The 22,694-nt window shown below is 37.3% G+C and overlaps 1 protein-coding gene across 3 annotated transcripts in view; it reads right to left on the reverse strand.

Annotated features, from left to right (window-relative positions):
• The window catches only part of PAIP1 (poly(A) binding protein interacting protein 1), a 31,145-nt gene that overhangs the window by 4,193 nt on the left and 4,258 nt on the right, over positions 1–22,694 (reverse strand). For all 3 annotated transcript variants that reach the window (NM_183323.3, NM_182789.4, NM_006451.5), the window contains exons 3-9: positions 17,269–17,454; positions 12,545–12,657; positions 8,465–8,576; positions 6,360–6,485; positions 5,075–5,181; positions 4,394–4,511; positions 3,279–3,333 (exon numbers count right to left, since the gene is read on the reverse strand). In NM_183323.3, coding sequence (NP_899152.1) covers positions 3,279–3,333; positions 4,394–4,511; positions 5,075–5,181; positions 6,360–6,485; positions 8,465–8,576; positions 12,545–12,657; positions 17,269–17,454 — 817 coding nt within the window. The remainder of the gene's footprint in view (positions 1–3,278; positions 3,334–4,393; positions 4,512–5,074; positions 5,182–6,359; positions 6,486–8,464; positions 8,577–12,544; positions 12,658–17,268; positions 17,455–22,694) is intronic.

Consider the following 22,694-nt stretch of genomic DNA (forward strand, 5'->3'; position numbering starts at 1 on the left):
TCTTTATGAAGTCCTAACCTCTGAATAAAAAAATGAATCAGTATATATTAAGACTAGTTACCTTATAGTTTCTTATGAACAGAAGCCAACGGAAATTTTGCAATTATATTAGACTGGGTAAAAGCCATGTTCTTCCAAGACTGTGTCAGTCTGTATAAAACCGTAACTCCAGCTTCAAGGGCTGGGGACATTTTGATACCCAATTTTGACAATTTAGAGACCGTTTTAACAGTAAAACCTTCCTGCTACAAAAAGACAGGCATTCTTTTAAATGTATGGATAAGTTCACAAAAAAGAAAATCCAAGTCATCAGGTCACAAATGAAGAAGGAACTGAAAGCCATATATAAACTGCAGCTGCTGCAGCTGGGAGGCTGACAGATGATGTTGGTCTCGGTAACTAAGGGGCTTGGATTTTAAAACCCACAGAAAGCCAGAAAGCAAGGTCTTGGGCCCCATGTGAAACAGGAAAATGAAATCCATGCTCCATGCCCAACCTCACCTGCACAAACCTGGGACCCTCAAAGGTCTGGTATCTTAAACAAAAGGTGAATCAGGAAAAAAGACCAAGAAATATCTCAGTGGTATTTTATCTTCCCTGCGAGATAGCAGGAAGCTTGGTCATGTCTGCCTGGGTTTGGAATAGGGACAGAGCACTTTGTAGAAATTGGTGCCCCAGAGAATTTTTAACAATGGGCCTGCACCTCAAATTCCTACTACCCACATAAAGAACCCCTATGACAAGAAAACAAAAAATTTGTCCAAGTCAGTGATACCTACTCTGTGGCTCCTGGCAGAAGGAAATATAAACCATTTTGGACAGAGGTTCCTATAATCCAAGCCACAGTGTTTTTCATTAAAAAAAAAATGAAAAAAGAAAAAAGAAAAAAGACAAAGCACTGAAGCATTTAATCAGGGTCATATTAATATGAAACTTCAAATGGTTTAAGAAAAAAAAAAAAAGTGTGTGGACAAGGTCAGGAAGTCAAGACCAGCCTGACCAACATGGTGAAACCCTGTCTCAATAAAAAAAAAAAAAAAATACAAAATTAGCCAGGCGTGGTGGCACAGGCCTGTAATCCCAGCTACTTGGGAGGCTGAGGCAGGAGAATTGCTTGAACTCAGGAGGTGGAGGTTGCAGTAAGCCGAGGTTGCATCACCGCACCCCAGCCTGGGTAACAGAGTGAGACTCTGTCTCAAAAAAAAAAAAAAAAAAAAAGAGAAAAAAAGAAAAGTGTGTGGAAAGAGCACAAATGATAAAGCAAGTAACTGTTAACAAAAAGTACACCTGGGTAAAAGGTATTCCTTGTACAATTTTACTTTTGTAACTTTTCTGTAAGTTTGAAATCATTTCCAAATAAAAGTTTAAGACGGTTAAGGCAAAAATTTTATGTGTGATGATCAGAAATAACAGAAGGGTTATAATTAAGAGATAAAACAAAAATATAAGACAGAAGTAAGCATGTTTAGAATGATGAGAAAAAATAACTTGAAACTCTGAGAAAAGGTCAAGATTATTTGAACAAAATGCAGAAACAAAATTTAGCTTGATTTTTCTGTAAAACTGTAAGATTTCTTTTACTTTCATGAAGTATAGCAGATTAAAAAACGTTTAAGAAAAAGAAACTGAGATCTACTGGCTGTCTACATTACTTCTTTTCCTTGAAAAGAAACTGAACAACCAAACTGAATTTCTGTAAATCGAACAGTACTAGAAACAATTAAACAGGTTAGAAAAAATAAAAAACAAATAATCAAAATAAATCAAGGTAATTTTTAAGAATAAGAGGAAAGATTTGTCTTACCAGACATAGCAAGATTCACAGTAAGGTAAAAATAATTTAAGTGTAGTATTGGCATAGAAAGAGATTAACAGAAAAAAAGATTCACACAAACACAGGAATAAGACACAATTTGATAGAAGAGTTACATAGTATACAACAAAGGGGGCTTATTATAACTAGGAAAGGAAGGATGGCTTAATACCAATTGTTGAGACAACAGGCAATGGAAAAGATAATTCCTATGATATCATCCTATATAAAAATTGCACTGGTAGATTAAAGACCTAAAAATAAAAAAGAACAATGATTTTTAGAAGAAAACAGAAATGGTAAGGAAACTTTCTTAAACCACAGAAATTACAAACAAGACTGATAAATTTTGTTCACATTAAAACTCAAAGGTTCTACATGACATTATAAACAAAATGCAAAGACAGGCAAATACTGAGAGAAAGAAGGTAACCAAAACCCTCAGCTAAGAATCACTTTGTTCTAGACTACAAAAGGAATTACAGATCAGTAAGACAGACAAATGATCCAACAGAAATATGAACAAAGAGTATTAGCAGGCAATTCTCAAAGAAAGAAATCAAAAAGGTCAACAAGAACAAGAAAACTTCAATATCACTTGTCAGGGAAATAAAATATCAGCAAGATAGAATTTCATACAATCTGATGGACAAAAATTAAGTTTAATAAAAAGTATTGCCAAAGATGAGGAGCAGGAACCCTCATGTGCTGCTGATGGGAAGATTAAGTGGCATAATCATGCTAGAAAACAATTTAGTAACATTTAGTGAAGTTTAAGATGCCCATAGCGTGTAACTTAATTCTACTTCCTTGCCCTAAAAAAACTTCTCTGTGCTAGAGACACAGGACAGTCAATGCTTGGAATCCAGAGGAAACAAATGGAAAAATTCCAACCATAAGCTGGTTGCAGTTTGTACCAAAGGGAAAAATTTCTCTTCCTCACTCTACAGTTCCATCTAATACAATTAAGGCAATCTTTCTATAAATGGTCCTCTTCTGGAAGAGGAAATGTGCAGAGATTTGGATTTTAATTAACTGTCACACACCAAGTATGAATGAAATGTGTAATTCTTCGTGTAAAGTATTAACCCATATTAATATATGTTGCTGACTATGCAGTGAACTAGAATCGTCTTTCCCCTCCATTCTAATCACCTGAAAATTTAAGATTATAAAAAAGTTAGAGGAAATATAAAATTAAAATAGTTGCATTTAATTGAGAATTCTTCCCATCCTCTGTTGTTAAGTGACAAGACATTATATGTGGAATCATACTTTCATTTGAAATGTTTCAAGTGGTCACTATGAAGAGCATTCTATATTAGACAAACCATTACACTGGTATTTTAGAATGATGTGAAGACATCAAAAAGTTACAATCTTGTGCTGGTGAGGATGTGGTTTTCTGTAAATTTACTACTTTACCAAACAACTGGGAGGAGGGAATGACTGTGAGACAACATACCTGGATCAGCTGCAGTGAAAGGAACACCATCAGATGTATAAAATGTTGGTTCATTCTAGGATGAATCAAAGTGATAAAAATATGTAATCATTTCAGAATTGATTTTTGTAAGTACAATAATGAAGCATGGCTGATGTCACCCGTCTGCACCTAATAATGCAAGAACAAGCAAAGGAACCTAACTTCCTGGTAGCCATTTTCACTTCACTGAGAAAGTCTATGGTTTTCAGATTTCCATGCCATTATCTCAAGTTCTTGTGGTTCTAACGGTGCTGTCTATTGTCTTTCAGTGAACTGTTCTGTTGTGCATTGTCATTTAGTGTCAGTGCATTTTTAGCTGTGGTTTCCAACCCCACCATTTCTTTTAAGAATTTCCAGGACCAGGGCTGGAGGAACATTTCTCCACAGCTGCTTTATGTTTGTTCATGTCAGGAGCTTCAGGGCATCACTGGCCTAGTAGCCATTTTTTTTTTTTCCCTGAGACAGAGTTGTGCTCTTGTTGCCTGGGCTGGAGTGCAATGGCGTGATTTCAGCTCACCACAACCTCTGCCTCCAGGCTTCAAGCAATTCTCCTGCCTCAGCCTCCCGAGTAGCTGGGATTACAGGCAAGTACTGCCACGCCCAGCTGACTTTGTAGTTTTAGTAGAGACGGGGTTTCTCCACGTTGGTCAGGCTGGTCTTGAACTCCTGACCTCAGGTGATCTGCCCACCTTGGCCTCCCAAAGCGCTGGGATTACAGGTGTGAGCCACTACGCCCAGCCAACCAATTTTATTTTATTTTTCGTTACTACAACATGCAAAGTAAAAGTCTGAGATGCAGGTCCTTGGTTATAAATTCTCTGGAAAAGCTGCTTCCTGGCATCCCTGTGCTCACTTAAGTCCAAGCCTTGTCAATCTCTCTTGCCATTGGATATATCTTTCTCTAGTCCACCCTTTCACTGGAGAATTCCAGGTCTCTTTTCTTTTTTACCCAGTCTGATGGCTGCCATGTCACTCAAAGCCAGTGAAGACAGTTATTAGGCACTGAATTCTGAGAACAGCTTTATGTAGCTCTTCTAATTTCCAAAACGGAATTCAAGCAATAAGTAAAACTTAAAATATAAACACTGGCATACCATAAAGTAGTTAGGATCATTTTCTGGTGTTGCTTCTCTATATGTTGAAGTTGCATGGACTCTGCCCCAGTTACTTGACCGGAGTTCTACAAGCTTCAAGAGCATCTGTTTTACATCTCTGTAGACAAAGTTGAAAATGAGTTAGTGTATCCACCATAAGGGCTGTCAGACCCTAAAATATCTCAGATTCCCAAAACTTTATTTCCTTAATTTAACAGGTACATCTGATGCCTTGACTTTCTAGACGTTTCCTATATGACATAAATTCATTTAAAAAAAAAATAGCCTTGAATTATGTTCCACGTAACTATGACTATATGGACCTTAAAGGCAGTGGCTATCCTTCAAACATTTTTATGTGTCCTACTATACTTACAGTAGTACTTTTATTTGTTGGACAGTTAATATTTGGATTTTGTTTTTCATTTAATTCATATCTTAAGAAAATTAGCTTTTTCAATTTCTAAATGTAATTGAGCAAAAATATCTGACACGTCTATCACAAAAATGTCTAGTGAGCAGAAACTATAGGTAAAATATTATTCCTTTAAAGAAAAGCATTTTTGTATATCCGTTAGCCATCAACTTACCCTGCTGAAGTATAGCAAATTAAAAAACAATCTCCAAAGAAAAAGCAAGAAATTGAGATGCACTGGCTATTTACATTACTTCTTTTCCTACCTACTGCAGTTTGCATCTAGGACAACGTTTTCAATTCTCTGAATAATTTCTTCCATATCCATCTTTCCTTTTTCCTTCCAAGCATCTTCCAAAACTGATCCTGTCAACTAAAAAAGCAGGTGTCAGTAAAATAAGAAATTCAATAGTGTATTATAGAAATTCTAAAAAGATACCAGTAACAGTTCAAGCATTCTCTAAACAAGATGAATTTAGCAAGTTTAATATTCCTAATTATTCTGTCTACCATCTAATATTCAGTGATCTCTACGCCCTCTATATTTCTCTTGACTGAGAGAAACTAAAACAAAAAAAACAATAGCAGAACTTTAATCATGGGTTTTATGTCAACGACTGTTATATTCCCTGTATGACTAAGATAGGCTATTAGATTTTAATGAACATGTCACTTTTTTTGAAATATACAGCAAGCAACAAGTATAGAAGCTTTGAATAAAAAAAAAAAACACAAACATGCATTTCATCAGGAAATAAATCAGTTAAGGATTTAAACAGGTAATTTATAGGAAATAATAAACAAATGGCTAATAAACATGAAGAAATGCTTAAAATCATCTGACAAAACAAAAACCAAGATTGATTATATCCATCACTATAAGGATGTAGGAAGAGATGTACTCATTCTGCTGATGGGGCTATACTCTGGTTCAGCATTTGGAAGGCAAATTAGCCATTACTTGTCGTAAAATACATATGCTCGTCCACCCACCAAATCCGTGTTTAAGAATTTAACCTACAAAAGTATCTGCACATATATATGACAAGAGGAAAGATTACAAGCAATGCTGCCATGGCTAAACTGAAGATAATCCAAATATTCATTAGTAAACATTGATAGATGTTACGGAATGGATAAACAATGCATATGCATATGACAGAATACTAGGAAGTTATTCAATAAAAGAGGTAAATCTCTGTGCCATGGAAAAATCTAAGATGTTTCATTAGGTGGCAAAAACAAAAACAAAAAGCCAGAACAGAGTAAGATCTTATTTAATAAGAGCACATATACAGAGATAAGAAGGGAAGAAGACAGAATTTGCAAATGGAAATGGCGTAAAGGACTTCCATTTTTCACTTCTGAACTTGCTTCATATATTAAACAATAAGTATATCTCGCTTTTCCAAAATATTCGAGAAAAAAGTAAAATGTCAATATTTACCTTAAAGTGATAAATCTTGAATTCATCTGTATACTATATAGACTAACCTTCCTCTAAATCATAAGTAAATACGTAAATTAGTTAAATTAAAAAAAAAAACCTACCTTTAACAATTTTACTGCACAAATTAAATTGTCATCCATAGGATTAGAAAACAGGGCATTCAGCAATTCTCGAAGACCAACCTGAAGAATATCTGCTCTTGTAACCTGTCCATTTGTTCCCTTGATCTTTCGGGACCAAAAAAAAGAACAAAAGGAATGATGCCAAAATATAATACAGATACATAAATGAACTAACAAGGTGTTGGCAAAATAAGCATTTTAGCTAAATCACAAAAGTCACAGGAACACACTCTGATATCTTCACAGAATTTGTTAGAATTACTTTATATGTAACTAAGACCTCTAATAAAACTGGTAAGCTATGGGTAAAATTTAATACCAGAGTCAGCATAATTTAAGCCCACTTTGATGTTACTACTTCATAAAGCTTTCTTTAGTTTGTTCAACTACCACTTTTTTTTGAACACACAGCATTTTATTCTGCTTTTAAAATATTTTAAAATATGGTATTTTGCATCAGAGTGGTATATGTATCTTATATCACTGTGTAGAAGAATTTTAGGTGCAGGAACTAAGCCTTATCTTTACATCCCCCATTGACCTAGCATCATTATCTCCATATAGAAAATGCTCAACAGTATTTATTTTAGATTGCTGTCCATATTTTGGCTTAAACAAAAATTAGACTGAAAAAGAACATGGCATAAGATTTTTCAAAAAACTAAGTCTACCTGTGGTAAAAAGGCATAGTAAGTTAGGCTCTGGACTGGACATAGACCTTTTAGATACAATGACTGAGATGCACATTTGATAGATTCACATTGTCTTATGATGTTTCTGATATTATGGCGTTTACGATCTTAAGTTCTCAAATCAGGGTGTAAGAAGGTATAAGCTTATATCTGATATTCACTAATTTAAAAAATCAAGCAGAGGCTGGGCATGGTGGCTCATGCCTGTAATCCCAGCACTCTGGGAGGCTGAGGCGGGTAGCACCTGAGGTCAGGAGTTTGAGACCAGCGTGGCCAACATGGTGAAACCCCATCTCTGCTAAAAATATAAACATTAGCCAGGCATAGTGGTACGTGCCTGTAATCCCAGCTGCTCAGAAGGCTGAAGCAGGAGAATCGCTTGAACCCGGGAGGCGGAGGTTGTAGTGAGCCGAGATCACGTCACTGCACTCCAGCCTGGGTGACAGAGCGAGACTGTCCCCACCCAAAAAAAAAAAAAAAAAAAAAAAATCAAGCAAATCTATTACACAGTAATAATGCCGTGCTGAATCCAGCACTTCTATTGCCTACTAACAAGCATATACTTAAGTATACCACCCAAATTTATAAATACGTTTAGCTGTAGACTTTGTACAAATGCATTTTTATGTGGAAGATTAATATATAAAATAGGACAAAAAAGAACTATTCTTAGGGGTTGGGGTATTGGGGAGATGTTGGTCAAAGGACACAGAATTTCATTTAGGGGGAATAAGTTCAAGAGATCTCTTGTACACCATGATGACTATAGTTAACAATATATTGTATACATGAAAACTGCTAAAAATTTTAAGTGTTCTTAACACAAAAAAGTATGTCAAGTAATGCATATGTTAAATAGCTTGATTTAGCCATTCTACGATGTATGCATATATCAAAGTGTTGTGTACCATAAAGATATAATTTTTGTCAATTAAAAAAATATTTTTAAAAAACTATTTGGGTGAATTAGAGTGAAAAGCCTAGAGAGACTCTAGTCTCTCTTTTCACTCAGAGTTCTGCAGAGTAAACTGCTTTGAGCCACCATCTGAAAGTCAACATACTAAATGTATTAATATATAAGATGTAAGAACTCAAAAAGGTATCACTGTTGATATCTCAAGAACTTAAATTTGCATGTAAACCACAGCTTCCTAAAAGTACGCAGATTTTTACCTCAGTAATTATTTCCTAACATTCTGTCCATGAGTAAATGTTATGGACAGACGGTCCAGTAAACCACAGACACTAGCAGGTGCCGAAACATGTTTTCTTTCCTCTCTCTTTCATTTCACTCTTAATGTTGTAAAAGTACAATGTGAACACAAATTCCTCATTGAGATCAACTTATGTTCTCAGGCCTTGTTAGTACTTAACAAAAGAAAAACTTCTCACCTCCAGGTTAAGATAAAGTTCTCCCAGAAAGAGTACAAATGCATGAAATCGTTTTCGAGTAACTTCATCCCCTTTTGCAGCTTGATCTTTAACTTCATATTCAGTCCGACATCTAATTAAAGACATATCTTTTATAATCTCACATTGCTTTGCTTTTTAAATAGTCAAACAAAATAACCATTTGTCAGTTTGGTTGTCCACAGCAAGAGGCAAGGACAATGTCCCAATGCTCTTTCTACAATAAAGAAACTGTTCCTGACTATTGAAGAGGCTAGAATATACACCATCTTTTCATACTAAGTCTCCCAGTTTGAAAAAACTGATAGTTTTATTTTCAACGATTTTTATCAAATTTAATATGTTTAAGCAACATAGGTGTAATCTGATTCACAGCATACTGGCAGCCCAAAGAGGGGAGAGAGAGCCTCACCTTGTCTTATAGGTTTTTTACTAAGAAAGCACTGATTTTACCCAAATTGTCTCTGTAATTTTTTTTTTAATACTACAACTTTGAAAAGGATCTTTAAATACACACACACACACACACACACACACACACACACAACCTCCAACTGAAAATAAAATGAATTGTTTTTAAGTCCATTATTCTTGTAATTTCCATTATACGTATCAGAGAAGTACTAATGTGAGGAAAAAATTCCCCCATTAAAACCACAATATAGAAAGCACCGGACTTGTTTTCTATTTCCAATGAGACTGACAGCTTCAAATAACTGATTTTTCCTTGCTCTCTTTGCCCCTGACTTGACCCATTTGCTTCACACAGAGGAGAAAAAGAAGAAATCCTCTTCTTGGAGCTTATTGTCAGTCATAGTTCCTACAAGGTAACTAAACTAGGCACAATAATCCTGTCACTGCCTTCATAAGTGAACTACAGTGTCAGATATTGTTACTAACATAGATTTTTTAAATGGACTGTAAAAGTTTATCATTTTGTTATTAAGTATTTGTAATCTTTATTGATAAGGTGAGAAAACTCTGGGAAAGTAACTTGCTTCACAAAACTGGTTTTGACAGTTTTCCTTTTCAAGACAAAGGGAAAAGCTATGGGTACTGAATGGTTTCCACGCAGCCAGTTTAGGTTGACTTTGTAAACAATTTTTAACAAAGAAAAAATAAATTACCTCTTGTTCAGTAATTGACTCTGGGTCAGTTTGCCAACCACGAAACCCCAGCACAGCTTACTGTGCTTACGTGGCCAATTCCAATGTTTACGAGGTATATTAACTGAGCAACATCTTCTGTTTAAGTCAAATGTGGTAAGATATTTGTTATCATCTTGTACATATTAAATTCCTCATCAGAAAAAAGTTGGGATATTTATAGATAGTACATTCTGGTTAATAATGGAAGAGATCAGTTAATTAATGCCAAATCAGTTATTTAAAAACACCTGTTGGCTGCTTTTCTGTTACAACTTTGTCGGTAAGAGTTGATGAAATAACTTTTTTTTTCATAAAATGCTATGACAGACTGTACGTTAGGATATGATTATGTACATGCAAACAAATACCTACATAATTGACTAGGTGAAAAGTCAAATTTTTAAGCTAAAGATTTTCAATTATAAAAGCAATGTATGTTTATTTTGGAAAGGTTAAAACAGAAAAAGTATAAAGAACAAAGTCACCTGCACTACTACTAAAAACAAGAGATAACTGCTGTGAAGGTAACTTCCGTTCCATCTTTTTCAAAGTATGTATATATTTTTTAAAGAGGTAGCAGAATTATGCTTTGCTTTTTACTTGTTAGCTCACTAGTATTTCTCTACATTATTATTGACAGGATTACAGTACTACAGAAGCACATATGGTGGGTAACAGTCAATGAGAAGAGTGGGTCTCAATCATAGCTATACAGTAGAATCACTTGGGAAGCTTTAAAAAACCATGTCCTAGCTCCACCTCGTCTAATTACACCAGAATTTCAAAGGGTTCAGACAGGATCTCGGCTTTAAGTATCTAGGTAACTCTAAGGCACAGCCGGGGGTGAGAAGCACTGAAAAATATGAGTGAGCATTCCTGGCGTCCTACCGCCTACAAGTACCCACTCTGAATCTTTACAGAAGCTATAATTTGTGTTTCTTTAATTATAAGTATGGTTAGATATCTTTTTATAACTTTGACATTTGTATTTTTCCAAACTGTATCTATATCTATTTGGCGCTATTCCAAGTATTTTCATTATTATTATTATTTTTGATACGGAGTCTGGCTGTCACCCAGGCTGGAGTGCAGTGGCGCGATCTCTGCTCACTGCAAGCTCCGCCTCCCGGGTTCACGCCATTCTCCTGCCTCAGCCTCCCAAGTAGCTGGGACTAAAGGTACCCGCCACCACGCCCAGCTTTTTTTTTTTTTTTTGTATTTTTAGGGTTTTTTTTTGTTATTTTAGTAAAGATGAGGTTTCACCATGTTAGCCAGGATGGCCTCAATCTCCTGAACTCGTGAGCCGCCCACCTCAGCCTCCCAAAGTACTGGGATTACAGGCATGAGCCACTGTGCCCCACCTATCATTTCACTTTTAATAAGTCTCTGACATATTTGGGATTTCAGCACAGAGAGTGAGATGGGAACTCATCTTTTTTTCCCAAATGACTATCCAGTTATGCTACCAGCACAATTTATCCTTTTTATCAAAAGCTTGAATTTTCAAGGGTCTCTGGGGTCTACTTCTAGAATCTTTATTCTGTTCCACTGCAGTTTAACCACACAATGGAATGCTTTGCAATCATTAAAAGTCACTTAAAAAACTAATGGACGAACTATAATAAACTTGAAGATAACCTTGTTACTGAAGACATCAAATTATAAGAAAACTAGTTTTCTCTAAATTAGCTTATAAATTGAGTATTATCTCCAAAATATCTAACATACTAGCAAGACTTGTGTAATTTCAAACACTGATTCTAAAGTTCATTAGACGAAACAAGCATAGCAAAGAATATTTGACAGGCTGGGCGTGGTGGCTCACGCCTGTAATCCCAGCACTTTGGGAGGCTGAGGTGGGCGGATCACTTGAGGTCAGGAGTTCGAGACCAGCCTGGCCAACATGGTGAACCCCATCTCTACTAAAAATACAAAAATTAGCTGGGCATGGTGGTACGCACCCATCATCCCAGCTACTGGGGAGGCTGAGGCACGAGAATCGCTTGAGCCTCAGAGGTAGAGGTTGCAGTGAGCCAAGACTGAGCCACTGCACTCCAGCCTGGGTGACAGAGCAAGACTCGGTCTCGGAAAAAAAAAAAAAAATCCCACAAAAGAACAAAAAACTAATTACCCTAAGATATTTTTAAAAATGATAGCTTTTGGCAGTGCAGGGTGGCTCATGCCTGTAATCCCAGCACTTTGGGAGGCTGAGGTGGGTGGATCACATGAGATCAGGAGTTTGAGACCAGCCTAGCCAACATGGTGAAACCCGTCTCTACTAAAAATACAAAAATTAGCCGGGCATGGTGGCGGGTGCCTGTAGTCCCAGCTACTGGGTAGGCTGAGGCAGGAAAATCACTTGAACCTGTGGGAGGCAGAGGTTGCAGTGAGCCAAGAGCGTGCCGCTGCACTCCAGCCTGGGAGACAAAGTGAGACTCCATCTCAAAAAAAAAAAAAAAAAGCTTTTTAATAGCTATTGTATGAATTGTATGGTAATAAAAAGGAACAGAATAAGTGATAAATGGAATGAAAATCCAGAATCAAAACCCAAATAATGCAAGTGTGATAAAAGTGGCAATTCAAATCAATAAGGAAAAATGGATTATTCACTTTTATTCTAATCTAAATAAAATTAGATCCTTATTCAAACCAAAGCTACCAAAGTAATAAGAATTACATAAGTGTTTATTTTTAAGATCTTGGAAAAGGAAAGATCTTTCTAAACACAAAACCAAATTCACAGACCATTACAGAAAAAAGACTGGTATACTGAACTATAAACTTCAAATATAATGCACATAAGAATAGGCTGCCCTATTCTTTCCTGCAGCTTTTTATAATATATGGTCTGAGGAATGGTCAAATTCTAGTATATTTAGAAGTAGTTTTCCTTTAATTTCACATTTACACTGACCTTTGAAGTAGCAATTGGCGGAAGTTGCCACTCTGTGGGCTAATTGTCAGATGATGGGACAGGTAATTACACAGGCGAGCTCCCATATAAGAGAAATTTGGGATAGATGTGGCCTTTTAAAAAGAAGAAAAGTGTTATATGACATAGGTACATCATTATTAATGTAAATACTTAACAGCAACATTCTAAAGAAGAAAAAATTGACTCCCCAAACTGACCATATATACAAGTCTTTTGTCATTGTTAGGCTTAAGGAAATTAAATTCACTTTCCCTCCCAACCTTACAGCAAGAACCACAATAAGTACAAAAAAAAAAAAAAAAAGAAAAAACCCATCAGTTACCTGAGGCTACCAGAAAGCGAAGAGATAATGTCTCCTGATGCTAACCCATTTTTTGCAGAAAACCTGTACATGTCCTCAACTGCACAGTGACAATTATGAATGAGAATACTGCCAAACTGTTGACCAGTGGGGCTTCTTGGGGCAGGAAAGCACAGACTTTTTAGTGTTTGGCAGTCCAGGACAAGATTCCCTGGCATTTTGCTTCATGACTTTGGACATCAGTAAACCTCCCTGAGCTTCAGTTAGACTTTAAAGAGGTGATTAATGGTAACTGGCACAAGCAACTAACACTTAAACACTCCAAGAATGATTGGGTAAAGGGGAAATGAAAACAGCTAAGCTACTTAAAAACAGAAAAAAAAAAAAGTAAGAAAACACTACACATCAAAGATTGTTGATATAACTGAAGCAGTGTTCAGCAAGTTTAACTTTAATTGCAATTTCTAAAGAATAGTAGAGAACATAGTTTACCATCTAATATTAGGTAAGAAAACACACATTAAAAGGTTAAGAAGTCGGGCACAGTGGCTCATGCCTGTATTCCTAGTACTCTGGAAGGCCAAGGCCAGAGGATCGCTTGAGGCCATGAGTTCAAGACCAGCCTAGTCAACACAGTGTGACCACCATCTCTATAAAAAAATTTTAAAATTAGCTGGGCACGGTAGCATGCACCGTAGTCCCAGCTACTCTGGAGGCTGAGGTGGAAGGATCACTTGAGTGTAGGAGTTCAAGGCTGCAGTGAGCTGTGGTCACGCCACTGCACTCTAGTCTGGGTGACAAAACAAAGCCCCCATCTTTTTAAAAAAAAAAAAAAAAAAAAAAAAAAAGCTAAGGGACTTGGCCACAAATGTAATTGAACATAGAATCTAGATCTAACAAATGTCCTGCTACCCCTCTGACTCTATATGTTGGGTCTACTTACTAACTTTTATTTCTAATTATTTCCTTGCTCACATGGGGCCAGTATATGTCACATTAAGGGAGAAAGAGTGATTTCTCCTGACATCATGTATGTTTAGCTGGTACCCAAGACTTGGTTCACCCTTACATTTTTCCCATTATTGGCACTGCATGTTTTCCTTTAGCTTCTTTTTAGTGTTATAACACGATTTAAAGACAAGTTCTATAAGGCTTGTCATTCAACAGTTTCCTACTTACATCCCGGTTTTACTCCCAAAGACAACCACTTTTGACTTCTTCAGCCAAAAATGTTTTAATCCCCATATCTCCGCACTACGTAATTTTTCAGTTTAGATGTTATTTCTTACTGCAACTTGAGCATCCCTGTCCAAAAATCTAAAATCCTCCAAAAACAGAAAATATGAGTGTCCACATAATGCCAAAAGTGGAAAATTCCACACCTGACCTCATGTGACAGGTCAGTCAAAACACAGGTGTACAACACATAATTTATTCAGCATCCCCAAAGGAAAAAAGACCCTGTCAACCCCCTTCAGCTGTAATATACTTAGGTACCCTCCCTGAGGTGTCTCATTATATACTGGATATGCTAAATCTGAAAAAATCCATCTGAAATGCTTGAAATCTCAAGCATTTCAGATACGGGATACTCAACTTACAGTTTCCCATCATGGAAGATGAGCTTTTAGCTTTCACCCTGCTTAATTTCACCCCACTCTACTATTTCCTCCTATCACAGTATGGTTATGATTTTATTCATTTGCTGTGTTTTCATTTATAGCTGAACCATGTATTACACTGCTTTTACTTTTGCACAACTTTGTCTTCCCTAGATTCAGTTTTTACTACACTTTTATATTCTTCTCATTGATTTATCCCTAAACTCACTACTCTGTAAATTTCTTCTTATGTCTTACAGCATGTGTGCTCATCTTATTACGGAAGTCTTTCCTGGAGCCTTCTGACCTAGTCCAGTGAAGCCTGGCTGCTTCAGACCTACTATGCATGCTGCTATTGTTTTGAGATCTCCTTTGAACCATCATCTGGACAGTTCACTTAGTCTCTCCTGTAGAGTTCCTTTTCCTGGTTCCCATGTCTTCATCCGTGGCATAACTCCTCTTTTTGACAGAGTACGTCCTTTGTTAATTTCATAAGAAGGGTTACAACAAAATTTCAAACCGGCTGTTCAGTGTAAAAAGATCTGGATGGTCTAACTTTTTAGATTCTCAAGCAATCCTTTTAGCCTCATTCCATCCTTATTTTAGAACCTTTTAGGTTTTGCACTGTAAGTCATGGTGATTCTCAGCTTTACCACCACTGGCTTGGAATTCAACGTTAGATCTGCCAAATCAGGTACCACTCACCCACCTGCTTTCTAGTCTTCAAAACTAGTGCTTTTCTTTTCCTCTTCTCTGTCCCTATGAGCTTCCGCCTTTTAAAAATCCCCATAGCATCATTTTAGTGGTGTTTGGGAGATATCAGAGTTGAATGTGTATTTAATCTGTCATTTTTTTTTTTTTTGATTCAGAGTTTCGCTCGTTGCCCAAGCTGGAGTGCAGTGGCGCAATCTCGGCTCACTGCAACCTCCGCCTCCCGGGTTCAAGCGATTCTCCTGCCTCAGCCTCCCGAGTAGCTGGGATCACAGGCATGCACCACCAAGCCCAGCTAATTTTGTATTTTTTTTTAGTAGAGACAGGGTTTCTCCATGTTGGTCAGGCTGGTCTTGAACTCCTGACCTCAGGTGATCCACCCGCCTCGGCCTCCCAAAGTGCTGGGATTACAGACATGAGCCACTGCGCCTGGCCTAATCTGTCATCTTTTGTAATACTTCCTCGTTTGTTAGTTGCTATGAGTAAATTTCCATAAATTACCTCAATGAAACTTAGCAGCTATTGATAAACCTATGCATCATTGATCATAGAATATTAAAACATTAAACATACTGACTACATATTTGACAATCAGAGAAATAGTTGACGCTTATCAGGTTACTGACCCTTTGTCCAGCCCTGAATAAGTATAATTACGCAGCCTACTGAATAACTGAAACTAAATAGTGGAGGAAGCCAGAAAGGCAACAAGAAATAAATACATTTGTTTCATTTTCTTATCTCATATTCCTTTTCAATCCATTTATCAGCAGAAAGCAGAAATGAGGACAAACAGTGCAGTTCTGTCTTCCTAACATCTCAGGTACTTCCTCAAAACTGACAGTTGGCTAGGTAATCTTGGGGTCCAGTAACCATCCAGAATAACTTGGAAAAGCAGCCAAATGAAACATTAGGATAGAAAATAATCATTAATTTGCATTATAATCTCCCTTCCATATATTCCAAATTTGAGTTGCTCTTGTAACAGTGACTTAAAGAACCTAAAGTTTACATTTCTGATCATGGCCCATTTTTTTTGACCAGTCTCACACTGACTAAGAAATTTTGTGTTAAGCCAGTGTTGTCTACTGTATTTTTCACTTTTAAAATAGCATTAATGAGGCCAGGTGCAGCGGCTCATGTCTGTAAAATCCCAGCATTTTGGGAGACCAAGGCAAGCAGATCACTTGCGGTCAGGAGTTCGAGACCAGCCCGGTCAACACGGTGGAACCCTGTCTCTATCAAAAATACAAAAATTAGCTGGGCATGGTGGTGCACACCTGTAATCTCAGCTACCTGGGAGACTGACGCAGGAGAATCGCTTGAACCCGGGAGACGGAGGTCGCAGGGAGCTGAGACTGCGCCACTGCACTCCAGCCTGGGAGACAGGGCAAGACTCCATATCAAAAAAAAAAAAAAAAAAAAAAAAAAAGCGTTAATATGTTAATGACCAATATGCTGGGATAAAAACTAAATGTTGTATAATGAAACAATTTCAACTGACTAAATTAGACTTTCAAGGAATTAAGATGAAATCCTTAAATTTTAAAAGAAAGCAAAGGCAAGTAGAAATGCTAAGACAAGACATTTTATGGTTTGGCTTTCTTTTTTTTAAAGACCTACTTATGAGGCAAGCAAATTCTCTCAATTTTTTTCCTCCCCTACTCTAATACTACTATTCAATTCAACACATAGGGGAAAAGAATTGCAGTCTTTTCTGGTACTGCTAATTTCAGAGCCTGCAAAACAAGGGGCAGGGTTTTGGTGGGGGTGACACTTATGTAGCCTTCGTTTTCAGTGCCCATATCACCTTCTATACTATACTGCTTGTATAGAGCTTTGGCTAAACAGGTGAATATTACCTATATTGAATCTTGACTACACATGTGAACTTGCAATCCTGTCTGGCTCTACCCTTGGATCCCTAACTATAGGAGTTTTATACAAGACAGACTTAGAACTCCCGGAAACTATAAAGAGTAAGTGTGGAGGCAGGTGATCATGAATCTGGTCTCCCTCAAGGAGTAGCCACTATCCTTGGGCTTCAAGGAAGCTATCTGAAGGTCACTGCATGCTATAAGCCAACATACCTGTTGATAGATGAGTTCCACAAGTTCTTGCAAAGCATCATCTGTTGTAACACAACCATTCAGGGTCTCTGCAAACTGTTCAATTTCAGTTTCAAAACTGCCAGGCTGCTCTGTAAGATGATTCAAAAAATCCTGAACATATTCTGATAGAGTAGGATAATCCTCACAACCATCCTCATAGGATTCCTACGGATCAAAAATGAAAAAACAATTTTAATCTATGCAACTGGCTAAAACACACAAGGTGGTATGTCTCTAGCACAAATGCTTTTTTAAAGATCCCTCACATGATAAAAATTTATGTTCATCAATAAAATTGTCAATTGAGCTATTTTTCTTCCTTGCCTAAAAGCTGAAGTGTTATAATTAACAGCAGAAAGGTTCTGTTCAGCTAAACAGGGAATTGTCTTCTCATTCTGGGTCAACTTCTAAGATGGCTGAGGAATAAAGTTTAAACCAATATTTCACTACAATGCCAATATAAAAATTAAGAATCTGATCCACTTACGAATGAAATAAGATCTAGGATTTGCTTCAAAGTGGGAGGGGAAGTATGGACTAGGGATATAAAAACAAGAACGGCCACATGTAGCTTACTGTTGAGGCCATGAGGATTCATTATACCATTCTCTGTATTTCTGCAAATGTTGACAACTTTTTTATTGGGGAAAAAAAAAACAAAAACAAAAACCTAATAAGGTTTATCATCTGTTAATCCCCAAGGGCAAAGAAATGCATAAAGCTGCTCGAGTAACTAAAATTTCATCACGGTATAAATGGAAGGAGACCTTTTGGCTGCTACATCCAGGTTGCTAACACAACCTTGATAGCAGCAGTAGTTTCCAGCTAATGTTGTTTCCACCACTGTCACCTTTGGCAGTTTCCAACCTTTTCATTAATGGCAGAAGGCTGAGTGGGCGAGTTTTACAAAAGATAATAGACTTGAGCAACAACTTTCACATCTCAATGCCTGGAATACCACCCGAAGCGCTTTAAAGTTTACCAAACAGTTAAAATCTAATAATAACTACACTGCTTGTATGAAATTTAACCTTCTCCAAACAGAGTAAATGAAAAGCCACATAAAAAAGTTATGACTACAAAACAGAAGCATTTTGTGAAGGGGTTAAGTTCTAAAGTCAGTGAGTGCATAGAAGAAAAAAAAAGTCATACATGGTCAAAACACCCTTAGAAATGCTCCATGTTGGAGAAAGACAGTCTTTTTTTTTCTTTGAGACAGTCTTGTTCTGTCGCCCAGGCTGGAGTGCAGTGGTGCAATCTTGGCTCACTGCAACCTCCGCCTCCCGGGTTCAAGCTATTCCTGTACCTCAGCCTCTCAAGTAGCTGGGATTACAGGCATGCACCACCATGCCTGGCTAATTTTTGTATTTTTAGTAGAGACAGGGTTTCACCATGTTGGCCAGGCTGGTCTCAAACTCTGACTTCAGGTGATTCCCCCACCTTGGCCTCCCAAAGTGCTGGGATTACAGGCCACTGCGCCTGGCCCAGGACACAGTCTTAGGAGAAAGACCAACATTGCCAATTGTCCACTTGTCCCTTTACTGTTGGTGCTTGATATGGTTTGGCTGTGTCCCCACCTAAATCTCAACTTGAATTGTATCTCCCAGAATTCCCATGTGTTGTGGGAGGGACCCAGGAGGGAGGTAACTGAATCAATGGGGCCAGTCTTTCCGGTGCTATTCTTGTCATAGTGAATACGTCTCACGAGATCTGATGGGTTTATCAGGGGTTTCCGCTTTTGCTTCTTCCTCATTTTTCTCTTGCTGCGGCCACGTAAGATGTGCCTTTCACCTCCCGCCATGATTCTGAGGCTTTCCCAGCCTTGTGGAACTGTAAGTCCAATTAAATCTCTTTTTCTTCCCAGTCTCGGGTATGTCTTTGTCAGCAGCATGAAAATGGACCACTATAGTGCTACCACTTCAAATAACCATCATTTGGAGGTCATGTTTTACACTTTTTATTTTATCTTTATTTTTTATTTTTATTTTTGAGATGGAGTCTCGCTCTGTCACCCAGGCTGGAGTACAGTGGCAAGATCTTGGCTCACTGCAACCTCTGCCTCCCAGGTTCAAGCAATTCTCCTGCCTCAGCCTCCCAGAGTAGCTGGGACTACAGGCATGTACCACCAGGCCCAGCTAATTTTTTTTGTATTTTTAGAGGAGATGGGGTTTCACCATGTTGATCAGGATGGTCTCAAACTCCTGACCTCAAATGATCCACCCAACTCGGCCTCCCAAAGCGCTGGGATTACAGGCGAGAGCCACCATGCCCGGCCTATGTATCTTCAGAGACTGAAGTGATACTTAGCAAAAGTTGCATGTACTATGAGAGGCAGTCAGGAAGTAAAACCAGCTGCAGAAATAGCAGATTCATGTGCCTTTTTCATTCACATATAGTGTTCATTGAATAGAAGGATAAACTCTAATACATTAGATTTTTGTCACGCATTTGAATTCAAGTTAAACATTCTACTATAATAGGAGGTATTAATGTTGATGCATTTATTTACTAATCATAAATATTATCACTGTGACTCTGAGGATTAAGTGAATTAATCAAATTCACCTAGATTGGTGAAGAGCACATAGTAAAGCACAGAATGTTCAACAAATGAATTACATTTTAAATTTCTAGGAGAATACTGAGTCATATTCCAAATGCAACAGCCATGTATTCATACATAAAGGGACTAAAGTATAAAAAGCATCCAAAATGAATGATAAAAAGCTGTATTTCTTGGCACCTAGGATGGTACTCCAGTTAATAAGCTAATAGCCACCAGCTGCATATATGATATGTGATAGACACCATAAGGGCTTTGCCTGCATCTTGTTTAACCTAGAACATTTTGAGGTAAGCATCACTATCCTCCCTGCATAGAAGAAACAGGCACAGAGTAGTTAAGTCACTTTGGTTATTCATTCAAAATGGTGTGGCTGCTGAGTACCTACTAAGTGCCAAAGACTGTCTTAGGGGATGGGATACTGCCATGACATGAATATCTGCCATGAATAAAGCAGACAAGGCTCTCCTCTCATGGAGCTCATACCCCATGATGGAAGACACATTCAGAAGTTGAAATATACTACAAAAAAAAAAAAAAAAAAAAAAGCAAAAAGCCAAGTAGAGATTCTTAGAGTTAATATATAAACTAAGAAAGAAAAAAAGATCCAGCCATACAAATATCTAAGGAAAGATATTCTCTTTCTATGGGCACAAGAAGCACACAGGCCCCAAGGAGGCCTAATAACTTTGAAAAAGACAATAACTAGAATACAGAAACTGAGGATGGGTGGTAACTAATGAGGTCAATGAGGCAGATAAGGAGATCTTAGAGGGCTTTGGGGGCCAAATTAAGGAAACTGGCTCTTAAGGAAGTAGGAAAAACAGGATGGGGGAAAGAGGGTTTGAACAAGGAAGGACCATGCACCAACTTAAGTGACTGTGCATGGTCACAAAACTGATTAGAAGAACTGAGCGCAGAACAAAGCCTATATTTTTAACCTCTCTGTGAAACTCAAAATAAAGGACAAAAGCTTAAAACCCAATTTTATGTACAAAGATGTTCATTGCCAAAAAATCCACGTAACAATCCATTAACAAGGAATTGGTTAAATACATTATCATATATCTGTATAATGGAATATTATAGCCATTTAAGAAAACAAGAGACAACAGTACTTACCTCTAGAGTGAGAAAATGTTCCCATTATAAATATTGACATTATAAAGTTGTGAAAGCAGTTAGGCATAATTGTACACATTCATATACTTAATGTTAACTACATACATGCGTGAATTTTATAACTAAAAACTAGTCTTAAGTTTTTGATATACAGTTACTAGTTTTACAGACTTGTAGTATCCTACCACTATTAATGACAAGGAACAGCAGAAAGGCAAAGGTACGGGTCCCAGCTGAAAGTACTAATTTCCTGTTTCCATCAAATGTCATTCTTCGTGGCAAAAATGCTGCTTAGAGCGCTGATTTGCAATCTTTTTTTTTTTTTTTTTAAAGTCAACAGAACTCTCTTTTAAGAAAATGTAAAATCTGATCAGTAAAAGAAGAAAGTAGAACTGCTCTGAATATAGCAGAACAGAGGATCCAGAGCCTGCCATTTTAAGCAAAAAAAGGAGGCATAGAGTATTTGGAACAGACAGGCACTCCAACGTGTTTGAATCAAAGCCTGCATTACTTCTCTAGCACCAGATTTTTTAAAGCCACAAATTTCTTCAGTCTTCAATGTGGAGTCAAATGGCTTCCAAACAGAGATATTTTCAAGTTTTATTTTTCTTAGAATTCTATGGGAGATTGGGAGAAATAGAAAATGTACTTTTTCATGGTAGGTACTCTATATACATTGTCAAGAGATGAGAACCTATTACAGAACCGTGGGAATAAAAGAAAACTGATCAGACACTACAGAGAGTGAATATAGTCACGACTACTTTAGCTAGCTGGATTGAATTAAGGCAAGGGTGTGCAGGAGAGGTGAGTCAATATGCCACCAAGTTCTTAGTGTAAGCAGCTAGTTAGAAGAGATTCGCATGAGATAAATAATTCTTACACTGTGTATAGATTTTATACTTGCATTTGAATGTGAGGTCCTCAAGAAGTGGTCAAATAAATGAAAATGTATGCCTAGAGTTCACTAGAGTTCAAAGGAATAATTAGATGTCAGGGTTATTAGCACATAAATAAGTGATAGATTCTATGGAATAGGCGGGATTAGCAAAGGAGGTAATAAAATGGAAGAAAGAACGTCACCAACTGTCATCTGAGGGGAAAAGGAATGATCTGCAAGTTGGGAGGATAAAGTACTGCCACAGAAGCCAAAGAGGTAGGGGAGAAGAGATGCTCATAACAACAAATGCTACAGAATAAATTCATAGGTTGAAATCTGGAAGAGAATTATCATTGCAGAGTCTCGGGAGTGAAGGAGATTATACTCAGAGAGAAAAAAGAACAAAACTAGTACCTCAAATACTTAGTTCTTAAAACAATGGGAGGGAGCTTCTGATAGACTAAAAAGGTACCTTTGCACCTAGCACAGGACCTGGCACATGGGGATTTATAAACTGAATAGATCCTACAGTGCTCAAAGTTTTAAAATGAGATTTAGGAAGATAAATTTAAAAATCGGAAGAACATCAGTCACAAAAATAGTATCAATACAATTAGGGAGATCAGACTGCAGAGGTCTGAACAGTGAGAGACAGTGAATAATTTTACCTATTGGAGAATGATACTACTGCAAGGCAGAACAAAAACTGGGAAGTAACTTGAAGAGGGATTCTCTTAGAAAAAAAGCTCGTTTTTTTGCAGGGGAGGAAGGGGACTTCTGTCTCTTCATCAATGCTTTATGAATTCCTATGTTAAATTTTTGGCTCTGGTAAGTGAACTG

Source organism: Homo sapiens, chromosome 5, assembly GCF_000001405.40.
Source record: "Homo sapiens chromosome 5, GRCh38.p14 Primary Assembly".
Taxonomy (NCBI): Eukaryota; Metazoa; Chordata; class Mammalia; order Primates; family Hominidae; genus Homo; species Homo sapiens.